The 26,377-nt window shown below is 38.6% G+C and overlaps 1 long non-coding RNA gene and 1 pseudogene across 1 annotated transcript in view, besides 3 other annotated features; one reads left to right on the forward strand and one right to left on the reverse strand.

Annotated features, from left to right (window-relative positions):
• Window positions 1-26,377, reverse strand: part of LINC02994 (long intergenic non-protein coding RNA 2994) — a 331,088-nt gene that overhangs the window by 270,714 nt on the left and 33,997 nt on the right. Inside the window, exon 5 of the long non-coding RNA NR_125909.1 lies at window positions 4,316-4,421. This is a non-coding gene — a long non-coding RNA (long intergenic non-protein coding RNA 2994). The remainder of the gene's footprint in view (window positions 1-4,315; window positions 4,422-26,377) is intronic.
• Window positions 5,043-6,889, forward strand: LOC152845 (PLAG1 like zinc finger 2 pseudogene; annotated as a pseudogene).
• Window positions 5,055-6,028: an enhancer, noted in NCBI's record as "H3K4me1 hESC enhancer chr4:85165003-85165976 (GRCh37/hg19 assembly coordinates)". NCBI's record gives its function as "activates a minimal SCP1, AML or CMV promoter by ChIP-STARR-seq in naive H9 embryonic stem cells {active_cell/tissue: H9 hESC(naive)}" and the evidence as "EXISTENCE:reporter gene assay evidence [ECO:0000049][PMID:30033119]".
• Window positions 6,029-7,002: an enhancer, noted in NCBI's record as "H3K4me1 hESC enhancer chr4:85165977-85166950 (GRCh37/hg19 assembly coordinates)". NCBI's record gives its function as "activates a minimal SCP1, AML or CMV promoter by ChIP-STARR-seq in naive H9 embryonic stem cells {active_cell/tissue: H9 hESC(naive)}" and the evidence as "EXISTENCE:reporter gene assay evidence [ECO:0000049][PMID:30033119]".
• Window positions 14,302-14,663: an enhancer, noted in NCBI's record as "heart enhancer 9". NCBI's record gives its function as "activates a minimal c-fos promoter by transgenic reporter assays in zebrafish embryonic heart {active_cell/tissue: heart(embryonic)}" and the evidence as "EXISTENCE:transgenic organism evidence [ECO:0001131][PMID:20075146]".

A 26,377-nucleotide genomic window follows, 5' to 3' on the forward strand; every position in this document is an offset into this window, starting at 1 on the left:
TTCCCAGAAGAGCATTTTGGCCTGCTTATTCACATGAGCCAAGAACTGAAAAAGAGCTAAGGGGTAAATTGGTAAAGTGCTACCACAGAGATTTCACTCTAAATGCTGGCTGGGGAAGCCTTGTGGTTTCAAAAGGTTAGAAACTTTAGATGTTTTACAGGGTACGTGCCAAAATGAATAATTCATAGAAAAATGCTAAGTCTATTCAGGTAAGATTATATGGTAAAGTAAGAGAAAATGCCAGATTAAAAAAAAACTCTTTTCTATGTGATCCTGCAAAGCCCTCTAAATTAATCCTCCACATGTACCCTGTGCATAGCACTGTGCTGGGTACTAGGGAGATACAGCAATTGTATCTCAGGCTAACTGAGCACATAGGACATCCATATAGTCAACAAGTACTTATTTAACACCTACTGCTAGGTGTTGAATGCATTCTGAAACAACGTGCTTGACCTAAAACTGTGTAATCAAGTAAGAGAGACATCTAGAAAGAATAAACTGCCATCAGTCATGGAAAAATCAGCATTAAAATTTGTACAGGACAGATTGTGCAGGGCAGTTAGTAAGCTTCTCACCTACCTTCCTACTTCCAGTCCTATGCCTTTCCCGCCCACCCTCTCCATGGCTCAGAACTCCTCCCCATGGCCTTGCAATGTCCTGTGTGCTGGGAAGTCTGATGATACAGCCACCCTTATCTCTCTCTCTCACTTTTTTCGTTTTTTCTTTTTTTTTTTGAGACAGAGTCCTGCTCTGTCAACCAGGCTGGAGTTTAGTGGCACGATCTTGGCTCACTGCAACCTCTACCTCCTGGGCTCTTGCCACTCCCTCCCATTGAGCTTCAGCCAGTTCCTTTTGCCTCAGGCTCCTTGGCCTCAAGGCCTTTGCCTAGGAAACCAGCTTAGCCACTTCACGTCTCATCACATGGCAAGTTCCTTCCCATCCTTTAGGTCTCAGCTTCAATGTTACCTTCTTAGAAAGGCCCCATGACCCTATCTATAAAGTATATAATTCATTTTATTCTCTATCTCACCTCCTTTTTATTGTTTTCTTTTTGATGCTTACTCACAATTTCTAAGTATTTGTTTATTTGTTTACTTAGAGACCTTCATACTAGACTGGCAGGTATTATACTATTTCTGTCTTGTTCACCATTATATATCCAGTACTTAGCTCAGTGAGTACATAGTAGTTATTCAATAAAATTAGTATTTTACTAAGCACAGCAGTTGCTTAATAAAATGTGTTGACTGAATGGCTTAAAGTGACCAATGCTGGCACTAGCCCAACTAAATAAAAATAAAATTCAAATCTCAATTATAAATTCTTTTTTTTTCTTAGAGACTGGGTCTCACTCTGTTTCCAAAACTGGAGTAAGGTGGTATGCTCAAGGCTCACTGCAGCCCCAACCTCCTGGGCTCAGATGATCCTCCCATCTCAGCCTCCCAAGTAGCTGGGACTACAGGAGTATACCACCACACCCAGCTAATTTTTGTATTTTTTGTAGAAACAGGGTTTTGCCATGTTGCCCAGGCTGGTCTTGAACTCCTGGACTCAACTATTCCTGCCGCCTTGGCCTCCCAGAGTGTTGGGATTACAGGTGTGAGCCGCTGTGCCCAGCCCTCAATTATAAATTGTTATTCTCCACAAATTCCCACAGTGCTCAAGATAGTGGTTTACAGGGAAGTATGAAAGTCAGGTTCCAGTTAAAATAATGCTGTTTCTGTTTCTATTGAAAATTAGGAACTGATTTATGGTGATTTGATGGGACAGATTAACAGCTCTAGAGGGACTCCTTTCCAGTCTACCTTCCTTCCACCAGCCAATCCCCTTACCTCAGGAGATCAAGTGATGATATGAGTGGGTCAAGTCCAAACATATTAATTGGGATACTTAGTATCATCAAAATAATTTAAATAAATCACTGTTGGGGCAAACACTGTCTTCTTTTCTTAGTGTAATCCTATAATCTGAATGTTAAAAACACAGAGAACTAAGATTTGAGTATGGGGATAAGGGAAAGCAAATCAGGAAGGCTACTCTGCAATCTTGATCCTGGCTTCAGGGCTGCCTATTGCAAGCTAATAGAGTTATGGATTCCATGTGTTATGATCTGGATCATTAGGAGACCTTCTTAGGTTGAAGTTAAAGAGAGAAAGTTTGAGTCGAACTGCAGAAGTTTGAAGAGGGCATGACCTCCCCATACCATCCTTAGGATCTTGATATGGTTTGGTAGTTATTCTATCGTGTAGACTCAGGATCCTGAATCCTGGGAAAATAACATCTTAAACAACCATCTTAACACAATATATTCCCCCCTCCGGAGACTTGTTGGTAGTAAATAGAAAATTTTTGCTGATGGCAACAATCCCATGGAGAATGGCAGATTCTACTGCAATTTCTAGAGAGCTGAATGAACAAGTACAGCACAGATTAGGAGCTTGGATTTTAGAAAATACAACAGAAGATGGTGTGGGGCAATTAACAAGTGGGAGATTACTGCCATGTAGTAATATGGTGCCTGTCTTCACTCCAGGGATCTTCAGTAAAGTTATTAACCTCAAAGAATTCATGAGTGGGTTTGAAAATTGAAAAGTTAGGAGGGGATGAAGTCTATAGTTGCTCCTCCCGGTGCCTCTGTCTCTGGGCGGAGCTATACCACAGGATTTGCACTAATCCTGAGGAAGGGGCCAGACTTGTACAGACTGTGTGATAGCATGAGTCAAGTTTCTAAAAATCAAAGCATTAGAGAAGTCTGTATGACATTTAGTTTAACTATGGGAGTCCCACGTGTGTTCCTTCCTCTAAAGCACTCAGTTGTATTTTGGATTTAATCACTACCTTAAAACTGGGAAAAGTGGGCCTTCTATGAAATTGCCAACCTGTGAAGATAGAGAAAAATATAACACACACTGAGAATCAGGCACTGGGGCCCAGGTATTTCTTAATGCAGCAAGTTATCCAAGTGATGAAGTAGCCAGCACAGAATTGGTTTATAGCCCAGCGCTTGAGAGTCATTGATTCAGGATATTGTACTTTTCTTCATGTTAACATGGGTAATCAAGAGTTAGTTTTCATCACCTGACAGTTGTTAGGAATTATTTTTCCCCAATTATTTTTCTCTGATGTTTATTAAAATGCAGATTTTTGAGCCTCAAAAGGGCTTACTGAATGGGAATCTCTTGAGAATGAAGCCCAGGAATCAAAAGATGACACAAATTTTTCTAAGTTGATTGAAGTTTGAAAACTATAGTTCTTTCCTTTCTATTCCCATAATGTGAGACATTTCTGTGCTCACCCACTATCAATCTTGCTTCCTATGACCAGATGACTAATGTGTTCCAGATCCTTCAGCTTTCCTATCCCTTGCTGTTATCACTACTGTAACTTCTGCCAAACAAAGGATGCATCTTCATCTTCAATGGGGTGGCTCTGGATCGCTGGCCTAAAGTATTGTGTAACGGCCTCTAACTACTCACATTCCTGCACCAAAGCCTGCACTTCTGAGTTTCCGACATTTACCGCCCAGTGATGGAGTTAGAAACTTATGTATGGGATTATATATGATCTAGCAATTCCACTTCGGAGTAGTGGTAGTGAAACTGAGTTTAAACGTCAAAATAATGGAAAGCAAAGATTTAATCAGATATTTGAATACACCCATGTTCATAGGAGCATTATTCACAGTAGCCAAAAGGTGGAAGTAGCCCAACTGTTCATCAATGGACAAGGGATAAATAAAATGTGGTCAACAATGGAATATTATTTAACCTTTAAAAAGGAAGGATATGCTGATACATCCTACAGCATGGATGAACCTTGAAGCCCTTATGAAGACATTATGCTAAGTGAAATACGCCAGTCACAAAAAGACAAAAAAAGTATTATACAATGTATGAGGTATCTGAAATAGACAAATTTATAGAAGTAGAAAGTAGAATGGTGGTTGCCAGGGGCTGAGAGGAAGAAAAAATGGAGAGATGGTGCTTCTTGGGTATGGAGTTTCAGTTTTGCAAGATAAAAAAAAAATCATTGAGATTGTTTGCACAACAATGTGAATATTACTACTGAGTGTACACTTAGGAATGGTTAAAATGGTAAATTTTATATTATGTATGTTTTATCACGATTAATCATGAATAAAAATAATACAAAAAATCAGTTGCCATTTGGCTTAACTTGTTGTCATTGTTAAAAAAAAAAGCCCTCCACACATCAGGCAGCTGTCATTATATGGCACCATTTTACCTGAACATGGCTTCAACTGTCCTCTACAAGTATATAAGTTTCCTGTATCGGATAGAAAATGCCTCACCTGAGATTCCAACAACAATCTTCTCTAGCTCCCATTTCGATCATTTCCTCCCAAAGGTTGAAGGGCAATCTTCATGGGTGATTGTTGGTGTCCTTTTCTAGACAGCCTAGAAGGAAGAAATTAGACTGATCAGCACTTTAAAACATTGAATGTCCTTCAAGGACAGCAACTTATACACAGAGGCCATCACAAGAAAGGTAGGTACATTAATCATCTCCCCAGCTGGAAACGAAGGAGAAGAAATAAATAAACAGCCCATCATCATGATCAGGTATCAAAGGTTCGTTTTAGGTCATACCCCCATTAAAAAGAATTTCAATGCTGTCAGGAGCAATGTCATGAATCTCTTGTACTTCTTTTATGAGTAATTCATGCAGGGAGGAATCACCCTCCCTATGAGCTCCATAATGAGTGCCCCTGTCAATTTCTCTGCCTTTCCACTTTTGGTCATCTCAAAGCAAGGATAGAGAAGTACTATACATTTACCCCTGCATTGAGTGCCTGTGTCTTAAATAAATATTAAGTGAAGTTAGTGCAACTGGTAAAAAAGTCAATAACTTAGAAAATAATATTAGCATTTTGTTCTATGTTTGGGTTTTATCATGTGAGGTTATCATTTTAAAGTTATTACTTAAACGTCTTAAAAATAGCTCACTTTTAAAATATGTATTTGTATAGAAATACTAGAAAATGCTGACAACCAAAAAAGATTAAAAATCTGAAAATACTGGCGGAGCCCGAGCGCCGCCCAACCCGCAGCGGTGGGGCCCCGAGTGCGGCGAAGAGATTGTTTTCTCAAAGCTGCATTGGAGGCTGTGACAGAGCTGAGAGCCTGTGTGGAGCGGACGGTGAGGAATTCTCAATAACATGGCCCTTTGCCATTAGCCTTGCCATGACCACATTTTTCACCAGCGTCCCCCGCTGGATTCAAGATGCAAATCAGGAGGAAGTGGGCTGGAAACTAGTTCCCAGGCCTCGGGGCCGGGAGGCGGAGAGTCAAGTGAAGTGCCAATGTGAAATTTCGGAGAAACCTTTCTCAAATGGAGAGAAGCTGAGGCCTCACAGCCTCCCACAACCAGAGCAGAGACCATATAGCTGCCGTCAGCTGCACTGTGGCGAGTCTTTTGCTTCCAAATACAAGCTGTATAGGCACATGGCCACCCACTCAGCCCAGAAACCCACCAGTGTATGTACTGTGATAAGGTGTTTCACCGCAAGGATCATCTGCGGAACCATCTGCAGACCCATGACCCTAACAAAGAGGCCCTCCGCTGCTCTGAGTGCGGTAAGAATTACAATACGAAGCTGGGCCACCGGCGCCACCTGGCCATGCATGCTGCCAGCAGCGGTGACCTCAGCTGCAAGGTGTGCCTGCAGACCTTTGAGAGTACCCAGGCCCTGCTAGAGCACCTGAAGGGCCACTCACGCCGGGTAGCAGGCAGTGCCAAGGAGAAGAAGCACCCCTGTGACCACTGCGACCGGCGGTTCTATACTCGTAAGGATGTACAGCGGCACCTAGTGGTGCACACAGGCCGTGAGGACTTCCTGTGTCAGTACTGTGCCCCGCGGTTTGGCCGTAAGGACCACCTGATGCGTCATGTCAAGAAGAGCCACTTGCAGGAGCAGCTCAAGATCAAGACAGAGCCCGTGGGGACATGTTAGGCCTACTTAGCTGCAGCTCCACAGTCAGTGTGAAGGAAGAGCTGAGCCCTGTGCTGTGCATGGCCTCTCGGGAAGTAATGGGAACCAAGGCCTTCCCTGGCATGTTGCCCATGGGCATGTATGGTGCCCACATCCCTACCATGCCCAGCACGGGCGTGCAACACTCTCTGATGCACAACACGCTGCCCATGGGTATGAGCTGCCCTCTGGAATCCTCACCTATCTCTTCCCCAGCTCAGCTCCCTCCAAAATACCAGCTTGGATCTACCTCATACTTGCCCGACAAATTGCCCAAAGTGGAGGTGGATAGTTTTCTGGCGGAGCTTCCTGGAAGCCTGTCTCTCTCAGCCGCTGAACCCCAGCCCGCCTCACCTCAGCCGGCGGCAGCTGCGGCCCTCCTAGATGAAGCACTGTTTGCCAAGAGCCCCGCCAACCTCTCTGAGGCCCTCTGCGCTGCTAACGTGGACTTCTCCCACCTACTGGGCTTTCTTCCACTCAACCTGCCCCCGTGTAACCCACCTGGGGCCACGGGAGGCCTGGTCATGGGCTACTCCCAGGCAGAGGCACAGCCCCTGCTCACCACTTTGCAAGCTCAGCCTCAAGATTCCCCAGGAGCGGGGTGACCACTGAACTTTGGGCCTCTGCACTCCTTGCCTCCTGTCTTCACGTCTGGCCTGAGTAGCACCACCCTGCCTCGTTTCCACCAAGCATTCCAGTAGCCCCCACAGAGGTCCTCAGCTCAGTTTTTGGCTCTGTTAGGGAGCCTTAGTACCCACCCCGTCCGTGTCCCCCATGAAGGCTTCTCTGCTCTCCATCACATCACTTCCACTTCTTGTGCCCCTGCCCCCGCCTCCAGTTTTCCCCTAGTATCCAGCAAGGTTTCTTGCAACAAATGATTAGTTCTTCTCTTCTGACTTGTGGGGCTCCCTGCCGCAGAGAGCACAGCCCTTGCCCAGAGCCCAGGAACCCCATCCTTGCTTCATCTTAGATCTTCATGGGCTTCACTCTTCCCACTCATGGAAGGGAGGCAACTCAGGGACCTCCATTGTGGGACCCTTGAGACACCTCCACTCTGATTCAGAAACACACTTCTACCTCTTTACTGTTAACTCTTAACAGATGCAGTCAGCAGTTTCTGGGCACTTCTCTCAGTAGGTGCCTCATACTGACTTCTCCACTAGGGTTTCAGGACAAACTACCAAGGAACTGCCTCAGCCTGGTACCAGTCCTCCCTCACCCACCTTCTGTCTAGGTTCACTTGGTTTGTCATCAGGAACTGAGCAGGTCCAGGACTCAGGCTTCTGCTTCAGCCCAAGCCAGTACTCCTTGTTTGAGGTAAAGGCCTTAACATTTAGTTCCCTAGCCCTCGATTGGAAGCAATTTGGAGTGTGTTTCGATATAGGCAGGGTAGCTTGGGATACCTTTTAAAAAACAAAACCAGATATTAAAATGTCTGGCAAGGTTAGAATCAGACTAGATGGTTTGCTTCTAAAAGTTAGTTTCAGTGAGTCCCAGGGACTAATTAAGGTTTATTTTAAAAAGCGTCTACCTTGATACGCAGCCACCTCCTGCATGCTGTCATGTTATTGGGACTTGTATTATAGGTGATGGTATGTGAGAATCGAGTTGGGACTCGCTGTTGCCATCCTCCTTGTTGTATCTGGTTTTCATCACTAGACCCAGCAACCCTTCTCACCTTAACTGCCACCTTCCCTACACCCTCAGTTTACAGAGGCCATTGGGCCTCTGGCTGCAGAATACAAAGTCCTGGGCTGTTAGAGGAGTCCTTTCCTCTCTGCCTGCCCTTTCCTGTCCCTCCCTCGAATTCTCTCTCCCCATAAGTGATGCTGGGAAAGTCATAGGACTGGCAAAGCAACTGTTTGAACCCTTGTAACTGGGGCCTTGCCCCCACATCCTGTCTTTTCTCCTTGCCTTCCTCACTCCTGTGTCCTCCCATCTATCCTGTCTTTCCTTTCCTCCTCCCTCAGTGTCCTCAGCACCCACAAGGAATTTTCCTATCACTGTGAACTTTGCTGGTACAGAGGAATAATATCTGCCTTCACCTTTTTTTTTGGACCATAGCTAGCCAGTCATTTCTTAAACCTCCCTTCCTAAAATCTGGGGGGCTGGGGGTGGGGGAAGCCTTAGTGGCCTGGTTGTTCAAAGGACAAGAATAGCTTTATCCTACACTCAGTACCCAAACTCACTTCAGTATGCTCACTGAGGCCATGAGAACCTGAGGGGCATCTGCCCAGGACAGGAGCCATGGCATATGACAAAGACCAATGAGGGACCAGGAAAAACAGGGGTGATGTCCCCTTTCCCTGCCATCTCCAGCCTCTGTCAGCAATGAGCTATTCCCCTCCCACCCTACACAGTAGCTGGTCAGGGCTGAATGCAGTCCTGAGGGTAAGGGGATGACATGCCCAGGTGTCAGCTCAAAGGATCTCTGCATCATCTTGAGGTGGGAGGCAGGGAAGGGAGCACCAATGAGGATCCCCCCCGCCCAACCTTTTACAAATGGCATTTTCTTAATTGAAATCCGGGAAGCAGGTGTGATTAGTTTTTTGCTCGTAGATACTGTCCTAAGTTGGAATTCTCCCACTGCCCTAAAACCTTCCCTAGTAGTCCTTTAAATTCCCCCTTCCCTTTTTGGTAGCTGTTTTCTCCGTCCTCTCTCCACCTCCCCTCTTATCTAGGAGCTGTTTGTAAGCAAGATTTTTTAACAGGTTATATTGTACAGGATCAATATTTTGCTTTTTAACAAGGATATTTGTGTAATAAGAAACTTTGCCTTAGGCAGGTGTTGGCCAGAAAAGTCCAGATTCCTCTGGGACCCCACCCTGGCCTCTCCTGAAACTCTGAACCTGCTGTGGAAGGGATTGGCCTTGACCTTCACCTTTGGAGAGTAGGGTCTATGGCGAGGGAAAAGGGTGTTCACCATAAACATCTAGTGCCTCCATGGAGGGGTTTGGAAAAATTCCAGTCCAATTTCTTTGTGTGTCAGCTGACTTCCTTAGCTGATTTTTTGCACTTGCACCTTTCCACCTCTGCATATTTGGCACTAGAACTCCTGAGACACCACTTCTCACGCTTCTCCTTCCCTACCAGCGGTCAAGGCTTTGGAGCCAGTCTCTTGTAACTTCAGATTATTTAAAGAGAAAAATACAAGACAGAAATCTTCTAGCACTTTGTAAACACAGTGAATAACCTCTTAGAGTATTTTTGGCTTCATATAAAACAAGGTTTTTAATTGTAAAGTATAAGTGCCATTAGAAAATGCACAGGGCATATCTCTGTTAAAGTAGGTTTTTCAATGTTTTACAGAATTACATTTTCAAAAAAAGGTTTTTATAATGAAGTTGTTTATTAAAAACTTCTGAATGATGAAAAAAATATGAAAATTAACATTTACTCTCAGCTGCCAAGTGAAAAGAATGATCACTTATTAGCATCTTGTTATATCTTACAATTTTTTTTAATAATAGAGACAAGGTCTTGCTATGTTGCCCAGGCCATTCTCAAACTCCTTGATTCAAGTGATCCTCCTGCCTCAGCCTCTCAAAGTGTTGGGATTACAGGCATGAGCCACTATGGCCAGGCACAAAATTTTTAAAAACTGCATGAGTGCACACACTTACACACACACACACACACACACATGCAAATAGATAAATATGTTTTGAAAATTGATACCCTATTGCCCATTTTGGTAGGCAGAATTCTGAGATGACTCCAAAAATTTTGTGCCGGACACCAGAGGTATCCCAAAATAGGGCATTGGCCTCTAGAAACACCAGGAAAATATGTGGAGGGGTAAACACAAGCCCATACCAAGCCCACTGAAACACCCCCAAGAACACAGCCTAATGATGCAGTGCCAGCAACACCCTCTGTATGTGGGAAGAATAGAAAATTGTACTGATATCTTTAAATGAAGGGATTATAGAAAAGAAAAAAAGAATAAAATAAGACATATTCCCTTCCTATTCCAGAAAGTAGGTTAGGAAAAGAGACATTACCCATTAAAATTAGTCCTTCTTTAAGAAAAAAACAAGTCAGAGACTTATTGTGGAGAAAGTAAAGTTCCCAGCTGTTGGGTTTAGAGATATGTATGTTTGACTTTGAAATTCCTTTAACAGGCTCCATCATTTTTTACTTACATGTTTTTAAAGTGTGGCAGCCCAACTCCCACCCAACCTATTCCCCAAGACTTAACCAGTGGCAAAGAACATTAAAATAAAACCTGAATAAATAAACAAAACCCTGAACCTTTATTTTATGTGAAAACCAAAACAAGGTCAAACTCTTTTCCCTTCTAACAGAATGCCCAAAGAAGAAAATTTTTCTCACACTGTTAAACCCAGTCATCATCAGATTCCCATGGGCAGGAATGCCAAGTTTGTTAGTATGGAAAAGAATTTAGATGACTTTTCTCCTTTCTTGAAAATAGAATGATTTAAAGCCCAAGGAAAAATAGGTTAACTCCTGAAAATTTCTGATTCCTGACAAATTCTGTTCCTAGAAGAGTTTATTTTTACTTCCACTATTATAGTTATTCACAATAAAAAGTTTAGTGTATCTCATTTTTGTTTGCATTCTCTTTAATCATGGAATATACATTCACATTAAGTAATTCATTTTTCTCAATAGAGTTATTCCTAAAAAGGTGGTCTATATATCATCTTAAAAAGAAACATCTAACCATGCTGGAGTAATTAGTATCAAATTTTCTTCCTTTCATAAACAATTAAAGAATTGGGTAAAATATATGCAAGATCTGGTTCTGGTACTAGGTAATAATCAGCACATGACTGTGATCTTGAGAGAAATGACGTAAATCAACTGAGCCCTGCAATTACCCTGGATACCCTTCTGAGGGCACTTCTCAGGCTAAAGTACATGGAAAGGGAAGACAAGTAGACTATCATGGCCTCCCTGAGTGGAAGAGATATTAAAGCTGAGGCAGCTAGAATTCATGGGGCAGAGTACTAGAAAAGAGATAGCTATCTAGAGAAAAAGTTCCAGAAATGTATATAAGGTCCTCTGAAGCCTATTGTTGAACATTAAGCTACACATGTGCAGGTTGAAACGCCATGAAGCTAAGCTGACAATTACTAGAGTGCTATCAGCTAAACAATTCTCACAGCCCATTAAGCCTGAGAGATGATAAAGTTCTAACAAGCCAGAATGGATAGTTCTTACTGACTCTTTGAGGCACTCAGTACACGCCCCAGAAGAGCCATGCCTGGGTAACAGGAGTAAACCAGCTGTAGAGTAAAATCTACTTTATATCTGCCCTATCAAATTTTTCAGCAATTTTCAAAATGATTAAACTGAAAAACAAGTGACTTAACTGCCTACCAGAACTAAGTCAAGCACCCTTTAAAAGAAGACAATGAAAACTAGACACTCAGCAACATGAAATTCATGATTTTCAGCTCCTAGTCAAAAATTACTAGACGTGCCCTCAGAAGCAGGAAAATAGGATCTAAAACCCAGAGCAAAATCAGTCAATAAAAACAGAACCAGACCAGGTGCAATGGCTTACACCTCTAATCCCAGCACTTTGGAAGGCCGAAGCAGGAGGATAGCTTGAGCCCATGAGTTCGAGACAGCCTGGACAATATGGTGAGATCCTGGTCTCTATAAAATTAAAAAACAACAACAAAACAACAACAACAACAAAACAGAACCAGAAGTGGGTGAATTAGAGCCAAAAATTTTTTATCAGATATTGTAAATATGGTTAAAGGAAAACATGAGCATGATGAGGAAAAAGACTACAATATATAAAATAATAAATTATTTTTGTGTATAATAATTCATTTGGTGGAGTTAACAGCAGTTTAGATAATGAAGAAAGAAATGTCAGTGAACTTGTAGACATAGCAATATAAGTTGCCCAAATTGAAGCTCAGAGGAAAAAAAGAGACTGATAACAAAAAGCTAAAAACAGAACTACCATTCAACCCATTACAGGGTGTAGACCCAGAGGAATATAAATCATCCTACCATAAAGACACATGCACACAAATTTCTTTGCAGCTCTATTACACTAGCAAAGACATGGAATTAACCTAAGTGCCCATCAGTGACAGATTGGATAAAGAAAATGTGATACATGTACACCATGGAATACTACACAGCCATAAAAAAGAATGAGATCATGTGTTTTGTGGGAACATGAGTGGAGCTGAAGGCCCTTATCCCTTGCAAACTAATTCAAGAAAAGAAAACCAAATACCACATGTTTTCATTTATATGTGGGAGCTAAATGATGAGAACTCATGGACACAAAGATGGGAACAGACACTGGGACCTGCTTGAGGGAAGAGGGTGGCAGGAAGAAGAGGAGCACAAAAAATAACTATTGAGTACTAGCCTCAGTACCTGGGTGACAAAATAATCTGTATGACAAACCCTCATGACATGAGTTTACCAATATAAGAAACCTGCACATGGGCCATAAACCTAAAATAAAAGTTTTTTTTAAAAAAAAGCTAACAGAATCTTAGCAAATAGCCACACATGGAGCTATAGCCCCAGGAGAGAGGGAAAATGATTGGGGGAGAAACTTTTAAAGAAATAATGGGCAATGTTTTTTTCAAATTAGATGAAAACAACAAACTTAAAAGTTCAATTAATCCTAAGCAAGATAGCACAAAGAAAACCACATGGAAGTATTTCATAAACAAACAATCAAGAAAAAAATCTTAGAGTCACCCTACATACAGGAGGTCACAGAGAAGAGTGATTACAGGTTTCTCAGAAATAGCACAAGCCAGAAGATAATGAAGTAGCATCATTAAAGTTCTGAAAGGAAAAAACAGAACTGTCAAACCTAGAATTTTAGAATTTTATATCCAGCAAAATACTTTGTAAAAGTTAAGGCATAATACTGTCATTTTGAGCAACATAAACAAAATCTGAGATAATTTTAACTACAAAATGTGTACTGCTCTTGAACTACAAAAAAAAAATAAAGGAAGTTTTTTAGGCAGAAGGAAAATAATTCCAGATAAAAACATTTTTTAAAAAACAGAAAAGTGAGAAAGAAGCAATATAGTCTATATGGTGAACAACACAGAATTTGAAATCCTGATGTTGATACTTTGATACTTACAAAACATTAGTTTCCTTATCTGTAAAATGTAGATGTTTATGCCTTCATCATAGCAATGTTGCATAGATTCAATGAAATAAAGATCATTTAGCACAATGATTGGAACATACTAAGCACTCAATGAATCATAGCTATTACTATGTTATTGATAGCTATTAAATGTCCAAATATATTACTGTTAATAACTCTTGGTGAATAATTTGCACAGAATGTTATATATGTAAAAAAGTGATGGGCTGATCACCATTAAGCTTTGTAATTTTTCTTGGAAAAAGGTGGGTAGTTAAATATGTTAGTATTATTGGTGCTTTGCAGGGTGGGAAACTGAGAAGAGATGAGATACCTTGAGACAGGTCACAGAGAAGAGTTCATAGATGAGAAGGAAAGATTTCTCATAAGCAATCCAATGCTATCTTGTTGACTTGTAATGAAAAGTCTTAAAATATCTCTGACTTCAGGTCAATATTGGCCTTTCATTGTACAACTGGAAGAGCTGTAAAATAAAAAATAACTATTTAGAATTTTTCTTGAATCTTAACTTTATTTCACTGGGAGAAAACAAGTTACCTGCCTATGATTCTATAAAATAACCAATGCAATGGATATTCTCTAGTAACATTTAAAACCACCACATATGTGGGAAAACATAGGAAAATGAAATGTCTAGATTTTGAATAAATGTGTGAATGGATCAAATAAACCTATAAATAAAGTGCAATGCAGTGGTGAGCATAGATTCTGGAGCCTGACTGCCTAAATTCAAATTCCTATTCTACGCCTCAGTAGCAGTGTAGTCTTGGGAAGATACTTGACCTTTCTCTTAACTGTAAAGTGGGGAAATAATATTATCTACTTCATAGGATTATTGAAAGATTGAATGAGTTAGCATGTAATATATTTGGCATGTATTTGTTATTATATAAGCAATGATGAGAGAGTTGATTAAAAAGTTATAGGAATTACTTGCTAATAATGACACTGTATTACTTGTTAATAATGACGTTGTATACTTTCTCTTTTCAGAATGTATTTCAGGTTTGAAGTTACTGTCACATTACTTAGAGGTAAAACATCATTACCACTGGTATTACTAGCATTTTATCATGAAATATTGATATAATTTGTGAAGAAAGGAAAACTTTCCAATCTAAAGTTCTTAGGAGGCTCAAGACTGCATCTGGAGAGAAGCAACTACTTATCTACTAACACGACAACCCTTGGTTTGGTTGCAGTAGCAAGCTCCACTCTAATCATTCAGCTGAACAAACAAAACCCAGGATTTTGTTATTTTCCCAGAAACTAGGTAAACAGCCACTTCCCTTTTAGTTCTCTTTTTAAAGTAAGAAGGTCCACATCTCTCCTAATCATCACTTCACTCTATATTCCTATTTTAAAAGTTGATTTTTCTAGATGATTGCTATTTTAAGCCAATAAAAAAGTCACTAACAAATATGCTATTTAAATAATGTATGACTATAAATAATATGCTATTGCAAACATATAAATTTTAAAACCACTAATTAACCCAATGGTCAGTGGTATACTGTTAGGCTTATTTGGCTGTATGGATAGAAACCCACTCATGAAGGATACTGGATTTGGGCCAGGCTTAGAAACCAAGAACGTGCAGAACTCTAAAAACAGGCTATTTTTTATTGTCTCTTTCAAGAGCCACAGAGTTTCTCTGTATTTCATGATATCTCTGCTTATCTGAGCATGTCTGATCCATCTTCTCTTCAAACTACCTGGCTTCTGTCTTCTGATGGTTTCCATTCCATACAACTTTGATTGAATCATCAGCCACTATGGGCTTTACCTTACTAATAGCATCTCTGAATTTACCACTTGGTTTGAATCTTAGCATATTCCCAGTTCGGTTCAAATTAGTGGAGGAAGAGGGAGATTTAAATATCTGATCAGCCCAGTCCCAGTTTACCTGATCAATCCATCAATCATCTGTAGATCACCAAACTACAGACTGGTGGGTCAGATGTCCACCCTAGGTTCATGTGGGAGAGATCACACAGTACAAACCACTATCCCCCACTGCCATTCCATGTATTAGGCATATCTTTCTCAGAAGGGATTGTGGGCAAGCAGGCATCATAAATATATCTAGTAAGTACACTCAAAGAAAATGGGCCACATCCAGGCAACATTCCATAGTGGACACTGTTTACTTGGTCTGCCCACTTTGAGAACCAGGGCTTTAAATGTGAATGTCAGTTGAGTTAGCACAGGTCAGATATTTTGCAGCAGTATTTGATAGGATTACTTTAGCACAAGAAGGAATAAATGCTTCAAAAAGACTTCAGTTTGAAAATACCTAAAATCATACCCTGAAACAAATTATGTAAAATTAATTAAACAGTAAATTTAAATCTAAGTACAGGTGCAAGTTATGGCTGCATATAACATATTCCTATAATCACAAATGGGTACTAGTCTCTTTTAACTAATTTATTCCTGAAACCTGAGTCCTCTTGGCTCTGTGAAACTTTTGTATACTGTCATTTAATTTTTCTTTTGCCTTTATTGTTATTGCATTTTATCTGCTGATACATACTGACATCCCTAGCAGATCTTCTTAGGCTGACTACCTCGATGTGTCTAGGTTAAGCTAATGCAAGTGCCTTCCTAGTCTCTGAGATAATCTTTAAATTTTATCAGTTTTATCCCTGATGTTCTAGGTATTTTGTTCACCATTTACTAATGCAGAGAATCAAGCAAACCATGCAGATATGCCAACTGAAACATGCCATCTTTCCCTGCATTGCTGTATAATACATATGCCTGGATTAGTGGGTTTGTTTTTTAATTCATATGTTTTTTATTGTGCAATAGTTTAAACAGAAAAGTTGCAAGAACTGTGCAAAAGAACCTCCAAATTCCTTCATTCAGATTATCGTATTGTTAACCTCATTCCACAAGCTCTCTCTCGCTTTTTTCCTCTCCCCCTCACCCCTTTACTCTCTACATATGTATGTGTACAGACCTATATATTTATATATATATATTTATTTATTGATATTAATCCACTTTGTCAGTGAACATTTCAAGCATTTTCCCTTTCCCTTGGCTATTACATGATACTACAATGACCGTCATTCTACTTGTCTTTTTTCAAACATGTACAAGAGTTTCTCTAAGGCAGCAGTTCTCAAAATGTCATCCATGGACCTCTGAGGTCCCCAAGAGTTCACAAAGTCAAACTATTTTCATGATAACACAAGGACATTATTTGCCCACAAATGACATTTGTACTGAGGGTACAAAAGCAATGGTAGGTAACACTGCTGGTGCCTTAATCAAGGCAATGGCAGCAAGGGCAATTAATTATCATTGCATTCTTTGCCACCATGCACTTGTAGTTTTCTTTTTTATGCCAGTTTCCCCTTTAAAATGTCCATGAGGAAACTTCAAAACTTAATTTGATTAAATGGCAACCCTTGAGTACACATCTTTTTAACATTCTGTGTGACAAAATGGAAGGGAAGTGTGAAACACTTCTGCTGCATAGGAAGATGGTTCTCTCAAGAAAAAACACTTGTGTGATGGTTTGAGTTGAGAGCTGAACCAGGTGCCTGTTTCATCAACACCATTTTTACTTGAAAGAATGACTAATTCAGACTTTGCTATTTGAACAAACTGCGTTTGTGACTTTGAGGAAAAAAGACTGACAGTATTTGTTATCCATACAAAATTTCTAAGTTTCTCTTGAATACGCAGATATTTAGAATATCTGCATAACCCTTTGAACCAATTCTTTTCAAATGACTAATTATTGATGTTACAAAATTATGCATGGGTTAAAGAACCCCTCAAAATACAAGATAGGCCAATTTATTTTAATGCAGCAGAGTATTAAAATGTTTACTGATATGGTTTCATATTCTACATTGCAACTAAGCCTCAAAAAATTAAAACATGTTGAGTTTTGATGTAGTATCAAATAGAATATCCACAGTTATCTGAAACAGCTATTAAATAATACTTTCTTTTCCAACTGTACATCTGTGTGAAGCTAACTTTCCTTTATGTGCTTTACAGGAAGCACATTGCAGCAGACTGCATGCAGAAGCAGACATCAGAATCCAGCTGTTAAGCCATGCCTCAGAGAGATTTGTAAAATGGTAAAACAATGCCACTCATCCTTTTCTGTCTTCTAGGGAAAATATATTTGTTTTTAAATATCATGTTAACATGTAACAAATGTGTCATTCTTATTCCTAAATGAATTAACAAATAAATCTGTCTTTTTAATTTTCCAACTTTAAATTCTAATATGATAACTATAACTCATGAAACAAGATCTGTTTGGGGTTCTCAATAATTTTTAAGAGTATAAAGAGATACTGAAGACAAATGTTTGTAGATTACTGCTCTAGGCTATAAATACGAAAATAAATTTGGGAAGGTATAGGCTACACATATCTTTAACATGACTAGATAACATCACATTGCTCCCCCATCCAATCTTGAATTACAGGTCTATGTATTCAAGTTGAGAGATGGTAGCTTAATTGAATTATCATAGTGCTTCCTTAACATGAACTAATTAGCTATTACATAGAAATTGTTTAGGCAAATTCTGGATACTATTTAAGAAGCTTTGAAACAATTTGGTCTCACTAAATGCCTTCTATTTTATTATTAAATTAAAGGAAAACTCAACTAGGATAACATTTTTCTCGAATAAATATACAGGTTAAATATAGCCAGAGACATTAAATTTTATTACAATATTTTATTAATAATTAAGTCACACAGGCATCCTAGACAACCAATACATTGAAAATACTATATATTCCTCCTGTGTCATTACAATATATAATTATTCAGGGAGCCTATGCACTGATTAAAAGAGGTGCAATGATTTAAAACATGTGGCCTATTACCATGTAAAATAGGTTTGGGATTAATTCTACAACTGTTTGATATTTAAAATGAGTGTGTAATTCAGTATATTAAAGAGTTTTTATGTATATACAATAGGAAATGATTTAAGATTTCTTAACATTAAAACATAATGCAAGAAGGAGGTAGAGAGAAATTATATTAATTCTCCCAGAGCAAGACATTATAATAAGCTGAATCATACAATTTTTAATTTTAAATTTATGGGTTAAAAGGAATGAAAGCCCTTGGGACAAAATGGAATAAAATAAGATTTTGATCCCAGCAGGGAACTTTTTGGAAACCTCTCCTCCGGGCATCGTATGAAGACCTTATGGAAGAAATGGCCTTTCAATCATATCTCCTGAAGTCATAGAGAATTTTATCATGTCTCACGCATAATGAAATGTTAATGTGATTTTTCTTGACTGATATCATTCAGAGTAATTCATTTTCAACACCAGTTCTCACTCATTATAAGACTGATTTAATGTGGTACTTATAATTAAAGCCTGTTTTTAAAAATAGCAACTGAATCCACAGGAAGTATGAACATTTCTCATTTTAAGGAGTTTTCTTTAGAGAGTAATAGTCACTGGACTCTGCATTCGTTGAACTAACCTTTAGACAGAGATAGAAAAGGGTTAAGTAGACAGTCTTCAACTCATCAGAACTCCTACCCGTAGTTTTCCTATTTCTGACTCCACTTCAGGCTTCTAAATGACATGAAAATATTTTAAGTACACATAATCCTATATGAAAATTATAACCATTAATATATTTGTAGTAGTGAAAGAAGGTATATAGACAGATAGCTTGATCAATCAATCGATCGATCGATCCACCCCAATAAACTGCCTAAAGTGGTGGCAGAGATGTCTTAGCTAGAAATGTTCATCATAAGCTGGGGTTTGAGGCTGTGCCCAGAGATAAGTTATCTGACACTTGAAAAACCAACTGTCTAGAAAGAAGCCCCAGAGTGCAATGTAGACAGATGAAAGAGTCTCTGCACACATAAATGAAAAAGTGACACATATCATCTACTTTCTGCAAGGTAAACCCAACAACTGGAGCTGATAGTTCAGGCTTGAGGCTATGACCTCATAAATCATACACACAACTGAGGGAATAAAAACATTTGAGAAGCCATAGTTTCACAGCCAGAGCTTCACAGCTCACATCCCATGGGATTCTATGAAGACAATCAACTATTGGCAAGTCTGCCTACAAGCCTAGAAAAGCTGTTTAAACTGTCATCTATGGCTCTGGCCATATTGCAACAAGGCTGAGTAAGCCAAGAGCTAGAATACAGGCTGTACAGCTTCCCCCTCCCCTCTCATCTCCTTTTTTGTTCTCTGAGTAAATAGAGGTAGAAGACAGTTGAATAATCGTTTAAGAATGTCATTGCCGTTATTCTAATTTGTATCTTAAAATAATCTGGAGAATATACTGCCATCACGGAAGAAATCATAAAGAACCTGGAATGTTTTATGTAGTACCTTGTTATTCAGAGATCAACTTCAATGTCACCCTTCAGGGGTTTTCCTTGACCACCCACTCTACTCTCTATCGCATCATCTTATTTTTAATAGAGAAGGTATGGGCATTTGATATTCTTCTTGTTTATTTATTAGAGAATAAGAATAGTATAGGTGTTATAAATACAGATCCTGAGATCAGGTTGCTTCAATTGGAATTCTGGCTCTCCAACATAATCACTGGGAGCAAGGCTCTATGCCTTAGTTTCCCCCTCTAACATTTGAATAGTAGTTTTTTCTACATCCCTGGGTTTTGGGGAGGATTGTGCTTGTTAATAAAAGTACTAGATCCTGGACAGGCACAGAGTAAGCACTTGATGAATGTGAGCCTTAACTCTTTATTTGCTTGGTGTCTATTTCCCTAACTAGTCTGTTCTTCACTTGTCTGCCTCAGTGACCCAGTACCTGGAATGATGCCTGGAGCACTCATGAGACTTTCAGTAGGAATGATGAAAAATTAATTAATGAGTCTCAGTTCAGGTTTTGAGATTTAAATCTAACTCAGTAGACAGTAAGAAGGCATGGACAGACAAAATTGAAAACTTAACAGTTCACAGTAAACATTGAGCTTCTGCTATACATGGTAGTCAAGAACTTTGACTGTATAATGCTGACAATGGCTTTCTTTCTTTAGTTGCTAAGAAATTACCCCAGTGGTTTTATGCTCCAAATACTCTACATGACTGATAACCTTATTTCCTGTGCTGATTGAGTCAAATCCATGCCACACCATTTGAGCCACCTCAGAATACATATTGAAACTCTATCTGTCACCTCAGGCCTTCCCCTAAGTGGGCTCTGTGCCACAGAAGAGGCAGCTCCAGCCATCCCTGGAGGGCTGTCCCAGTGGCCTGAGAGCTGCTCCTAGACCCCTACCAAGGTCAGCATTGACCTCAAAGAACCTAGTCACAGACTTGTCCAACCAGCCCCACCCAGCTTTGCCCCCTCCAGTGCCTTGGCAGCACAGTGCAGGATGGGGCCCTTGGGAACTCCATGCCCTGACTATCACCAGGGACACCTCGTACTTCCTCCATCAACAAAGACCAAGTAAAAATTCCACTGCCATTATCACAGGTGTCTCTTGCCTGCAAGCACCACCTACTGGCCTGTAGGATGAACTACACAATCCAATATAATTCCTGCTGACAAAAGTAAGGAAATGAGATAATTTCCCAAGACCTCCACCTCCTCATCTTTGTAGGAGACAGTGAGCCTCACCACACACACAAGGCTACCACAACCTACAAACAACTAACATTTGGGAAAACCACTATGCTAAGGCTATCTATAACTAAGACATTTACACAGAGACTTGGCCCCTTGAAATCACACAGAAGCAAAGCCAAATGAACCTACCCAACATGAGCAATAGTCACACTCTCAAGGAGGAAAGAAGAAACCCACCGAATTAAAATAAATTTTAAAATATTAAATTTATTTTTAAATTTAAGAATTTAAATTTAAATTTAAGAAGAAACCAGCACAAGAATTTCAGCACCATGATGAAACAGATGGTTGAGACACTCCTAAAAGACCACATGAGCTCTCTAGCAATAGCTGCCAACCAAAATGAAAACTTTGAGGTGAGAGATAAAGAATTAAAGTTATGAATTTTAAGGAAGTTCAGTGAGATCCAAAAGAAAGTGGAAAACCAAACAAAGAAACCAGAAAAAAAACTCAGGAGACGACAGAGAGGAAAGATATATATTTTAAAAACCAAACAGAACTTCTGGAAATGAAAAATTCACTAAGGGAATTTTAAAACACAGTTAAAAGCTTTAATAAGAGACTAGACCTAAGCAGAAGAAAGGATTTCAGATCTTGAAGACAGGTCTTTCAAATTAATCCAGTCAGACAAAAACAAAGAAGAAAATAATTTTTTTTGATCAACAAAACCTTCAAGAAATATAGGATTATGTAAAGTAACAAAACCTATAACTTATTGACATTCTTAAGAGGAAGAAGAAAAAATAAGAAGTTTGGGAAACATATATGAGGAAATCAGGAAAATTTCCTCAGTCTTGCTAGAGAAATAGGCATCCAGATACATAAAATTCAGAGAACACTTGGAAGATATTATACAAGATGAACATCATCAAGGCATATAGTCATCAGACTATCCAAGGTCAACATGAAAGAACAGATCTTAAAAGCAGCTAGAGAGAAGCATCAAATTACTTATATAGGAAACCCCATCAGACAAACAGCAGACTTCTCAGCAGAAACCATACAAGCCAACAGAGACCAAGGGCCTGTTTTTAGCCTCCTTAAAGAAAAACAAAAGTACTAGTCCAGAATTTTATATCCTGCCAAACTAAGCTTCATAAATGAAGAAATAAAATCTTTCCCAGACAAGCAAACACTAAGGGAATTTGTCACAACTAAACCAACCCTATAAGAAATGCTCAAAGGAGTTCTAAACACAGAAACCAAAGGACAATAATCACCATCAAGAAAGTGCTTCACCATCCTGTGAAGCAATTACACAATTGAGACTCCAAGGCAAATAGCTAACAATATTATACAGAAACAAAACCTCATATATCAATGTTAACCTTGAACATAAATCACCTAAATGCTCCACTTAAAAGATATAGACTAGACTTTAAAAAACAAAGCTCAATCATCTGTTGCCTACAAAAGAACCACCTAATGGCTAAAGCTGACTCAGACTCAAAGTAAATAAATAAAAAAAAGATATATCACACAAATGGAAAACCAAAGTAAGCAGAAGTAGCCATTCTTATATAAAACAGACTTTAAAGCAATAATAGTTTTTTAAAAATGGCATTAAAGGGCATTATATATTGGCAAAGGGTTTAATATAACAAGAAGATTTCACTAGCCTAAATATATATGCACCCAACACCAGAGCACCCAGATCCATAAAAAAAATACTGTTAGACCAAAGAAAAGAGACTGATATCAATACGATAATAGTGGGGGACACCCCACTGATAACACTAGACAGATCATCAAGGTAGAAAGTCAACAAGGAAAACTGGATGTAAACTGGACTCTAGACCGAATGAACTTAATAGATATTTACAGGACATTCTACCTAATAATTGCAGAGTATACATTTTTCTCATTTGCATATAAAATATTCTCCAAAATCCACCAATATTTGGCTCTAAAGCAAGTCTCAATACATTTAAAAAATTAAAATGATATCAAGTATCTTCTCAGATCACAGTGGAATAAAATTAGAAATCAATACCAAGAGGAACTCTGAAAAGTAAGTAATTACATGGAAACTGATAACCTGCTTCTGAATCACATTTGGGTAAACAATGAAATAAGACAAAAATTTAAGAAATGTTTTGAAGTGAGTGTAAATAGAGAAACAACATATCAAAATCTCTGGGATACCGTAAACACAGTGCTGAAAGTTTATAGCATAAAATGCCTATATCAAAAAAGATGGAAAGATCTCATATTATAACTTCACATCACACCTCAAGGAAATAGAAAACAATAATAAAACCAAACTCAAGTCTAGCAGAAGAAAAGAAAAAGATCAGAGCAGAACTAAATGAGACTGAGACCAAAATAAATCAAAACAAAACAAAAAAGATACAAAAGATCAATTAAAAGAAAAGTTGGCTCTTTGAAAGAGTAAACAAAATTTAATAACTTCTAGCTAATTTAATAAAAAAAAGAGATTCAAATAAACACAATTAGAAATAATAAAGGTGACTTTATTACTGATACCATAGAAATTCAAAAGATAATCAGAGATTACTATGAACATCTCTATATGTACAAACTAGAAAACCTAGAAGAAATGGATAAATTCCTGAAACATACAACCTCTGATATGGTTTGGCTGTGTCCCCCCCCACCCAAATCTCATCTTGGGAGGGATTTGATGGGAGGTCATTGAATCATGGGGGCAAGTCTTTCCCATGCTGTTCTCTTGAAAGTGAATAAGTCTCATGAGATCTGATGGTTTTAAAAAGAGGAGTTCCCCTGCACAAGCTCTCTCTCTTTGCCTGCTGCTAGCCATGAAAGACACGACTTGGTCTTTCTTGCCTTCTACCATGATTGTGAGGCTTCCCCAGCTACGTGGAACTGTAAGTCCAATTAAACCTCTTTCTTTTGTAAATTGCCCAGTCTTGGGTATCCCTTTATCAGCAGCATAAAAACGGACTAATACAACCTCTCAGGATTGAACTAGAAAGAAATAGAAATCTTGAACAGACCAATAATGAGAAACAAAACTGAATCAGTTAAAAAAAATCTTTCAACCCAGGACTAGACAAATACACAGCCAAATTTTACCAGACATACAAAGAGCTGGTACCAATCTAAATGAAACTATTACAAAAGATTGAGGAGGAGGGATTTCTCCCTAACTCATTGTATGAAACCAGTATTACCCTGATATGAAAATCAGGCAGGGACAGAACAACAACAAAAAATGAAAACTGCAGGCCAATATTCCTAATGAATATAGATGTGAAACTCCTGAACAAAATACTAGCAAACTAATCCAATTGCACATCAAAAAGACAGTCCATCTTGATAAGTAGGTTTGCAGGAATGCAAGGATAAGTCAACATTTGCAAAAAATGGAATTGATCACTGTTTTAGTCAGTTATCATGCTGCTAATACAGACATATCTGAAACTGGGTGCAATATAAAGCAAAGAGGCTTAATTGACTCACAGTTCAGCATGGCTGGAGAGGCCACAGGAAATTTACAATCATGGTGGAAGGGGAAGCAAACACTTTTTTCTTCAAATGGCGGCAGAAAAAACAAGTGCAGAGCAAATGGGGGGAAAGCCCTTTATAAAACCATCAGATCTCATGAGAACCCACTCACTATCATGAGAACAGCATAGTGGTAACTGCCACCATGATTCAATTACCTCCTACTGGATCCCTCCCATGGCACGTGGGGATTGCCAGAACTACAATTCAAGATGAGATTTGGGTGGGGACACAGCCAAACCATATCAATCACATTAACAGAATTAAAAACAAAAACCACAAGCTTATCACAATAGATACAGAAAAAACACTCGATAAAATCTGACTTTTCTTCATGATAAAAACCCTCAACAAACTAGATATTGAAAGAACATACCTCAAGATAATAAAAGCCATATATGACAAACCCACAGCCAATATTACACTGAATAGGAAGGAGTTGAAAGCATTCCCTCTAAGAACTGGAACAACATAAGGATTTTACTCTCACCACTCCTATTCAACATAGTACTAGAAGTCCTAGCCAGAGTAATCATGCATGAGAAAGACATAAAAGGCATCCAAATTAGAAAAGAGGAAGTAAAATTAGCTCTGTTCACTGATGACTTAAAGCCCTAAATACTCCTCCAAAAGACTTCTAGACTTGATAAATGACTTCAACAAAATTTCAAGACACAAAATTAATGTACAAAAGTCAGTAGCATATCTATACACCAATAATGCCCAAGCTGAGAACCAAATCAAAAACTCAATTTTATTTACAATAGCTACAAAAAGAAAAAATTACCTAGGAATACAGTTAACCAAAGAAGTAAAAGACCTCTACAAGGAGAACTACAAAACACTGACAAAAATTCATAGATAACAGAAACAAATTTTCTTTAAATCCCATGCTTATGGATAAGAAGTGTCCATATTGTTAAAATGACCATACTACCCAAATCAATCTATAGATTCAATGCAAGTCCTATCAAATTACCAACATCATTCTTCAAAAAATTAGAGAAAACAATTCTAAATTTCGTATGAAACAAAAAAGAGCCCAAATAGCCAAAGCAATCCCAAGCAAAAAGAACAAATCCAGAGGCATCACATTATCTGACTTCAAATTATATTACAAGCCTCTAGTAACTAAGACAACATGGTACTAGTTCAAAAATAGACACATAGATCAATGGAACAGAATAGAGAATCCAAAAATAAAGCCACATACTTACAACCAACTGATGATCTTTGACAAATTTGACAAAAATAAACAATGGGAAAAGGACACCCTATTTAATAAATGGTTCTGAGAAAATTGGCTAGCCAGATGAAGAAAAATGAAACCTGATTCCTGTCTCTCACCATATGCAAAAATTAGTTCAAAATAGATTAAAGACTTCAGTGTAAGACCTGAAACTCTAAACATCATAGAAGAAAACCTAGAAAAAAAGAACTCTTCTGGACATAGGTCTTAGCAAATAATTTATGACTAACACCTCAAAAGTAAATGCAATACAAACATCAAAAATAGACAAATGAGACTTAATTAAACAAGCTACTGCATAGCAAAAGAAACAATCAATAGAGTAAACAGACAACCTACAGAATGGGAGAAAATGTTTGCAAATTATACCTCTGACAAAGGACTAATATCCAGATTCTACCATGAACTCAAACAACTCAACAAGAAAAAGAAACAATCCCATTAAAAAGTGGGTAAAGGACATGAACAGACATTTCTCAAAAGAACACATACAAGTGACCAACAAACAAAAAAAGTCTCAATATCACTAATCATCAGAGTTATGCAAAGTAAAACCACAAGGAGATATTATCTTACACCAGTTAGAATGGCTATTACTAAAAAGTCAAAAACCAACACATGCTGGCATGGATGTGGTAAAAAGAGAACCCTTATATACTGTTGGTGAAAATGTAAAGTAGTACAACCTCTATGGAAAACAGTAAGGAGATTTCTCAAAGAACTAAAAATGGAACTATTATTCAACCCAGCAATCCCACTACTAGGCATGTACCCAAAGGAAAAGAAATCATTATATAAAAAAGACACCTGCACTTGTGTGTTGATTGCAACACTAGTCACAATAGCAAAGTCATGGAATCAACCTAAGTTTCCAT

The sequence above is a fragment of the Homo sapiens genome, chromosome 4 (genome assembly GCF_000001405.40).
Source record: "Homo sapiens chromosome 4, GRCh38.p14 Primary Assembly".
Classification (NCBI taxonomy): Eukaryota; Metazoa; Chordata; class Mammalia; order Primates; family Hominidae; genus Homo; species Homo sapiens.